Source organism: Homo sapiens, chromosome 5, assembly GCF_000001405.40.
Source record: "Homo sapiens chromosome 5, GRCh38.p14 Primary Assembly".
NCBI classification, from domain to species: Eukaryota; Metazoa; Chordata; class Mammalia; order Primates; family Hominidae; genus Homo; species Homo sapiens.
In genome coordinates this window covers 106436142-106445415 of record NC_000005.10, presented here as the reverse complement: position 1 = coordinate 106445415, position 9274 = coordinate 106436142, and positions in this window count along the sequence as shown.

Below are 9274 nucleotides of genomic sequence, written 5' to 3'. Positions count from 1 at the left end.
ATTTAGCCTTTCTAAGAGTTTATCAATTTCATTAATCTCATCAAAGAATCAACTTTGGCTTTGTTAATTTTCTATATTATTTGTCTGTTTTCTATGTCATTCATTTTGGTACTTATCTTTATTTCCTTCTTTCTATTTTCATTAAGTTTATTTTTATGCAGCTTCTTAAGGAAGTCTATTTGCTTATTAATTTTTAAATCTTTCTTCTATTCTAATATAAGCATTTAAGATCCACAATTGCTTCAAACCTAGCTTCTTATGCATTCCACAAACTGTTAGTTTTTTGTTGTTAATTCAATTTGAAATTTTTTTTGTAATTATCTTCTGAGTATTTTTCTTCAACTCATTGAATTTTTAAAGAAATATATTACTTAATTTCCAAGTATTAGGCATTTTAAAATATTTTCTGATTACTAATACCTAACTTATGTATAGTGTAGTCAGAAATATGCTCTGCAATATTTAATTATATTGAAATTTATTGAGATTTATGGTGTAGCATAAGGCCTATCATTGTAAAAATCCCATCTGCTCTCATCTGCGTGTTCTGCAGGTGTGGGGTACAATATTCTGTTAATGTCAATTTTGTAAAAGTGGTTCATGGTGCTCAAATCTCCATTCTCCCTATTTTCCTACCATTGTCATGTATTTTATATTAAGCAAATCCTAAATATCATTTACTTTAAATAGTTTTATTTTAAGGAAATTAAGAGAAAAATAATCTTCGTATTTCTTACATATTTGCTTTTACTGATTCTATATTTCTTCTTGTATATTCAAGTTTCCATGCTTGACCATTTTTTATAGTGCAGGTAGGTATACTAGTGATAAATTCTTTCTCCTTTTCCTATATAAAAATATTTCATTTTAGCTTCACAGAAACAAATTTGTTAACACTTAAGTAGTTTCTTTGACTATTTTTAATTTAGTTGAATTTCGAATTGCAAAATTTTTCAACAGCTCTCAGATGTTGGCCTTATTTGCTTAGATGTCTATTGAAAACATGTCCTAAAGTGAGAAACAGTTGAAAAATACAATGATGACATTATTTTAAATATTATATAGAACTTCAACTAATAGCCACTTTTATCTTTACTAATAAACAGTCTCAAATATTTTGTGCCTGTTAGGATAATAATGAAACTTCCCCAAACATTTGATTAGACTCTTAAATCTATTAAATTAAAAGTAAGACATCTCAGAATGCAAAATCATTCACTCTATGCTGGGTACAGGATATTTTTTCAGAAATCCATTGTATGGTAAACATATTGTAATCATGAATATTTTCCTCTAGTCTCCAGTCAGCTTCATGTAGCTCTTTAGAAGCATTGTTCTATACATACTTTCCTCTTGCTTGTGGCATTTAAGAATTAAACATAATATCTTCATTATGAGATCATAACATCATTTTGCCTTCTTATGAAACCTCCAAGGGGTAAGTTCTCACAAGTCACTAATAAAAGACATGACACACAAGAGCACCAAGTCATACCGAATGAGTTAGCTAACAGTTATCATACCCACTGGTGAGGCCATATCCATTATTTGCTTTTAACATCGCCTGTGGTTTCACCTAAAGCTTAAGACATCAGTTTCTTTCATGTGTTTGGATAATGTATCTAGAATGCCAACATGGTAGTAGAGGATTTATCTTAAATGAGCTGACTTCAGCAAAGTGTTCTTTTCCAGATGGACTCAAAGGGCATTTCAACTTCCTTCACAGTGAAAGTATTTTATTGCATTGGCTGAAATAGAATGTTGTCTGCCTAATATTTCATTCTTAACATTTTCCAAGCCAATTTCTATACTTTTCAATTTTGCCTTGAATGTTCTGAAAGTGCCACATTTCAGCTACTTGGCTATGCTTAGAAGTTTTACCCTTAAATTTGATGACCAGATGAATATGCATGTTTTGTCATAGTCTCATAGGATTTGTCATAGGTCACTAAATTTATCAAAAAAATTATGGTTATTTGACACAATTGACAGGAAATTTAGCCCTAAGTCTCTCTTGCTGACTTCTAGAAGACCCAGGTCTGGCCAGACAACAACAACAACAAAAGACTGTTCCTTGCACAAAGCTGCGTACTATTTATAAACTACATCATACAAATTATCAGCTCTGTCACTGTCCATAAAAAGAACTTTTGAAAAATGGCTACTGATAGATATGCCCATACAAATCAATTGTTGACCTTTGATATAGTCATTGATCACTGACTGTTAGGATTAGCACATTTGGATTTCATGTCTGGGGTTAACATCAACTATTACTGAACTTGAAGATATTTTTATAAATTAAAATGATGATTATATACTCTGCTCAATAGTAAGTAGTCTCCTACTTTTACGAAGGGACATATATAACCATTTTAAGCCTCAAACTCAATATCATAGGATATGGTTTAATTATTATTCATGTCCTGGTAAACTTTTTATCCGTGTTTAAAGCTATTTTCTCTCCCAGTAATAAAGATCTCTTTGGTTCCCAATAGGAGAATGAATAGTTAGGAGCCTGAGCAATAAGAATTGCATTTTAGGATAAATATCAGTAATGATTCTAAATAACTTATTATCAGGATGTGTTTTTGTGTACGGCTTTTAGTTTCTAACACTTAATATTATGTTTAAATGTGAATTTCTAATTAAAGTTTTAATTACATTCTACACTAAAACTTTATTTTTTTCTTTGCAGAAAATAGCACCTCAATATTTTTTCTAGACATGTTATAATCACCATTTGCTTATATATCTCTATCTATGGTCTATATATTAATATCATAATTGTCAATATCATCTTAGAAAATGGTAAGTAATCTTCTTTCAAAACAACATTCTAGTCTGCTAACTACATATTGCAAGAGACCCATGTATCACTTATAAAATAAGTAACATTTGAAAATTTTCATAACACTTGAGTATTCTCAAAGACAAGACATTTTATAATGTATGCTTTTGATTAATCTATTGGTTTTCTATAATTTTAATTGGGGTAGTGAATCATTTATTAAGAATGACTTACTGTACATTTCTGTATACTTTCAGATTGTTTTATGAACTGGAAATACTGATTGTCTCACAACAAGGTATTTAGTCTTAGAGCAAAATGGTTAGCTATGGTTTACCAGTCTGTTGTCCCTACAAAGTTAACCTTGTACAATCTGCTGTATAGTTTTATTTCAAAAAATCATATATTTATCTCATACAAACTTTTGGTACAGTGTAAACAGCCCAATCTTGGAATAGAGTACTTTGAATCATCATCATATGTGCTTCTTATTTTTATTTTTTTTATTCTTTGGGCTTGAGGCCTTCTTCCTTTGCCAATATTTTCAGATTTGTTGTAATGTGATACATGGGTTACCCTGCTTTCCCATATTCCATATGAGTTTATTAAATGGCACTGAGGTGCTTGTTTGTTCATCATCTCTCATATATGTTGGTTGAGCGTTTGAAATATAAAATCCTTAAATGACAATCACTTTAGAGAGATATTAGTTACCTGGTTTATCGACTCCAGTGCAGCGTGATTTCAGTTACAAGTAGAGCAGCTCATTGTTGCTACCATGCACTTGAGCAGTTTATTTCTCGTCACTCAAAGATGCCAGCATACCCAAATGAGCTGCAGAAATGGTTTCATAAGAATGAGTAGTCCTTTGCATATTGAATGTTTGTTAAACACTTTCTGATCAGTTCATTAATAACCATACGATGCTTGAAAATTTCTCTGTTGGTTAGATTTTACAAGTAAAAGCTTTGCAATAATGCATGAGGGCAGTGAGGTTGAAACGCAAAAAGAGAAAAAAAATTATCCAATTTTCTTCAAATTTTATCTTATAAAGTTTTTTTGTGCTGTGGTATCACATCATCAATAATGTAATGTTATTGGAAATTTCACTTGCGGTCTCATTATTTGGTATCTTAAAACTATCTTTTCTAAACTATACCCCAAAATGATAAAATGTCACCTGAGAAGTCCTCTATATTTGAAAATAAAAACACACAATACACAAGTTTGAAATAATTCTTTGACGTTTTTTTATTTAGAAAGTCTGTCTGCTTCACTAGTAGCAGGCTCCCACTTCATTCCTTAAATAATTGCTCTCCTCTCAAAAAATGATCATGCCGTAAAAGTTGAGACAGTAAAAGTTTATCAAAATATCTCAATTCTTGGGTATGATATAATTTCATTACAAAATTCAGAGTAATATTGTTTTTACATTTCTTAAAGCCTTATCTAGAATTTTACTCTGAGATGTAAAGAAAGTCGAAATGAGTTTACCTGAAAAAAATGTAAAAATCAGTATATGCAACTAAAACCTAATCATGGGGCCTGGGGTAATATGTTTATAGTTTTTTTTAATTTATCAATCCCAATAACAACCCTCATGGAAAAAGGTCAATCAGCAAAAAACAAGTAATCCTTTGGAAAAAAAGGATCCATTGTACATGGAAAACTTCCTACTTTTTTTTTTTTTTCCCTTGGGGGAGGTGTTGTCTCAGTTATTCCAAAGAAATTCATTCAAATTCCCTAATTAACTTATTCTTTACAAGTTAAAAAAAATCAATAGAATTTTAACATTATATTCTGCTTAATAAAATTTATTTCTCATGTCTGAATTTACAATTTTGCTTTTCTCAAATACAGAATTTACACTTTCATTTCAATTCATTCATACTGGGCTTAATAGTACTTCCTATTAAAATATTTTTATATTTTAATTTAAATTAGTTAATTGACTCCATAAACAAGACTAGTTTTTAAAGAGTGATTATTCATACTATAAAATAATTCATGATAAACATGATTTAATACATATTTTCAATCACTTTCCTTGGGCTATATTAAATTTCCCACTTAGACATATTTATATAAACATAAAACGAGAAACCTATGTAACTATATTATTTATATATTATTTTAAAGCCTTCACATGACTTCCCAAATATTGTGTTTCATATAAAAGATACTACCCCAGTCCCCAGAATTGGGTTTTAGCTACATACAGAAACTAAATACCTTAGAGTTCTGATGATAATAGCTATTTCTTGTGAGGTCTGTATGACTTAATTTCAAATTGTGTAGTTAAGAGGTAAAAAACAAATGAATAACACAAAACTTAAAAGCAATTTTGACATATAATTTAGCAACCTCAACTTTGGTAATAAATTAACCTAATCATTTACAATTACACTTGCCTCTTTAGCCATTCATACCATTTTTTCCCCACTAGAATACAATTGCTTCTCCCGTGAGAATATATAAATTTATGTTTTCTCTGAACTTTTCACCAACTCTCCAACTCTAACATAGCAAAATATAAAACTCCACATGTTAATAGCTGGGTGTGTGAGTTCATTGCATATCTGCTAAATCAATGAGTTGGATTTGATGCTGCCTTTTAAGCACACTTAAAGTATTTTTCTAACATAGAAGCATTCAATTATAAATCTAAGTAAAAATCCAGTACTGAAATAAAACCAAATTCCCAAGATGGAATTTAGCATGGTGTCCATCTAAAAAGAGAAAAATGCTTGAAAGTGACAGGTTTGTAGTTCAATTTAATTTTAACTAACTTATTGCCATTTTTCAATTTGAAGCCAATATTCACTTTAAGTTCATCTCAGAAGTTTAGATTATCATGAACATTTGACAATTTGTAATCGAATGCTTACAGGCTAAAGGGGTTTTGCTCTTTTATTTGATGGATTGTGTCATGCCAGAGTCTGGTAGTGCATTTTATTTGACCTTTCTCCTTAACTCCATTCATCTTAAACCCCTTGTCACATGAGTGACAGACCATCATAATGTGATGGAAGACAAAACTTCAAAAGGATGCATCACCTTGTCAGATAAATGCAGATCAGAAATTCTTTTTTAAATGTTTAGTAAGTTAAAGGACAGTTTAGGCTAAATTAGGTTGTAATATTGAAAGGTAGAAGAAGAGTAAATTTTAGAGATCAAAGCTCACTATTGAAATAACTCTAATAATATTTAGAAATGAAAATCAGAAAGACTTTTATGATCTTTCCCATACAGTTGTAAGTGACAAGATAGAATTTACTTAAGAAAAAGTCATAGGGAAAGAAAACATTTTAACTAGGTACCGTGTGTTTGTGTACACATACACACATAAACACCCCTTTATTAAACTTTGGGCATTTGTAAAGAAATGTGCTCTCATTGGGCATATTCACCAAAATGTAATTCATCTGGAGCTCCTGATACTGTTAAAAAAATTTGGTGGAACTGAAAATGGGTAGTTTTGTATTTCTTGGGAAGAAATCATCTATCTACTCACAAAACAGACATCACTGAAGTGGAGAAAGGAGTAGATTTCCTCATATTTTGTAGGTCATTCATCTTACATCAAAGACTTTTTATTATGAAGTCCTGCAAGATTCTCCACTTTGTGTGTTTATACCAATAGACAGAGGCCATTCATATTGTAAATCAATGAACTAGTTTCTTATTTTGGCAGGATCAGCAGTGATTTAGCAGTAGAGTGTGAGCACAGAGTAAAGATATTGACCTGACACATTTTATCCCTTCCCATGAGAATTTCTCCTATCCATGGAAGAAGAGAGAAATACAAAAGACAAAATAATCACAAGATAAAGATGCCATAGCCATGGAACAGAAATTAAGGAAAGCAAAGAGACCTGATTCTGTCACAAGATGCTGGAATCTGGTAATAGTGTTTTTCTATTATACGAGTGTCCAATAATACATACCCATACATATAAACATACACACATATACTGACAAATATCTTCTTTGTTTATAGATTTAGTTATCGAAGTCACAAAGTGTTTTTTGTTTTGGATAATAAAGCAATTCACAAAGATCAACAACAATAGACTCAATACACCTAAAATTTAACATATCTGAAATAAACACACAGGAATAAAGCATATGTTTCTGTTTTCTTTCTATGGTTGCATTATCCATCTAACTTGTATCATAAATCTTATCCAATTCTCTTCTCTTCATAAGGATATAAAATAACTGGTAGTCCAAAGTGGTTTGAAGGAAGGCTTTATGAGAGTTGATGTTAGGACACAAAGTGGTTGGTTATTAATAATATATTTGTTCTTTCCTTACCTAATAACTAGTCTTTGTCAAATAATACTTATTGACATAAATGAATTCCAGCAAGAAATAACACTTTTATTTAGTTATTATTGTTGAATGTGTGCATCATCTGCAAAATCTCTTATATAGTATTATTATTCCCTTCCTATTGCATTTAAAACTGAAATACAATTATATAAATATTATATATATTTAATTGGTAATTATTTTTGCTCTAAATTCTGAAAGCAACATCTTTCTGCTTCAATAAGTGCTCACTTATCATCAAGAATATTTTAAAATACGATGTAAATTTAGAAGACAATAACTTTTAAAATGCAAACTATTATCTCTAAAAGTATGCAGATAAATAAGATCTAGTATTTAATAGAACAGCAAGGTGACTATATTTAATAATAATATACTTATATATTTAAAAATAACTAAAAGGATATAATTTGATTTTTTTGGAACAAGAATGATTAATGCTTGAGGTGATAGAGTTCTCATTTACCCTGATGCAATTATTACATATTGTAAGCCTGGTCAAATTATCCCATATGCCCCATAAATATATATACCTACTATGTACTATTACCCACAAAAATTAAAAGTAAAATGAAATTTTAAAAATGCTTAAAAAGAGTAAAATAAAAGATGATATGTTACCCAATAATTAAGTAAAGAAATGTGTTAACAAGCAAATTTGTGAAAATTGAAAATATTTTAAGGCTGGCATTTTTCATCAATAAAGTGCTTGAACATCACCTAGGTTAACAGAGTCAATCTCAACTCTATTTCCTGTGACAGAATACTCCATGGTTCTGCTCCTATTAATATCCAAGCTCTTACAAAGAGTAATTACCATTTCAGTAATTCTGCTTTGTGTACATGTTATTATTATTATTACCATTAACACACAAATTAGTGCATTAAAATGTATACAGATGTATATGAATAAACGCACAGTTTAAAAAATTTTATGAAATGAACACTTGAGCAAACACCAGCCTGGTTAGAAAATATAACAGGATTCTCAATGCCCTACATGAATACATCTACCGGCTTCACTAACATTGTGAAGAACTATTCTCCTAACTTTAATGATAAATATTTACTTCCTTTGCTTTTGCTTCTATTTACTGATTTGTAAATCACTAAAAAATTATTGTCAGTTAACATAATTTATTAATATAATTGAACCATATATATTCATATATCTTCCTCTTCTAAAATAATGTTTTAATGCATTTTGTGAATAACCATAATTTATTCATTTGTGTCGCTGCAACATGCATATCACAATTCATTTACTGATTTTAGTACTGAGGAATCATTGAGATGTTTTTTAGCATTTGTTTATGCAAAGCTGCCATGAACACTCTTGTCCATGTCTCCTGGTTCACGTATGTATTGATTTTCCTTGGGAATTAATTTGAATGGAATTGCTCATCACAGACTAAACATGTCTTAAAATTTCTAATACTATCTACCTATCTCGAAAGTCTTTCAACCAATTTTAATGCCATGAGGCATTATTCTTCAATTGTCTCATCAACCTTTTGGATTGATGAACTTTGTTTTCCTTTCAATTTTTTGAGTGTATTGCAGTATTTCTCTGTGGTTTTAATTTGAATTATTGTATTAATAATGAAGTTAAGCACTGGGCTTTCATTTATTTGCCATCTGTATTTCCTCTTTTGTAAAGAGCGTGTTCAAGTTGTTTGCCCATTTTGCTAATAGGTTTAGTTTTTTTCTTATTGATCCTTAGAAGTTCTTTATATGTTCTGGATACTAAGATATTAGGTCCAACTTGTGAAAAATATCACTTTCTACAATTTGGCTAAAATTTTAACTGTTTCTATAATTTATTTTGAAGAAAGATAGTCTGTTTAAGGCAGCCTCAAATTAAATCTTTTCTTTATGATGAACACTGTTTCTCTTTGTTTTGGAAGTCTCAACCTATTCAAAAAACACGAAGATACTACGCTTTATTATTTTGTAAATATTTTACAGTGGTGGCTTTATGTTTAAGTCTTTCAGTCATCCAGGATTGATTTTTGTTTACTTTATAAGAGCGGTCATTTTTTTTCTATATGGATACTGTATTGTACCACAATAATTTTTTGAAGAACTCTGTTTATTTTCCACCAATATGTGGTTCTACCTGTGTAATATATCCAGTATCCATGTATA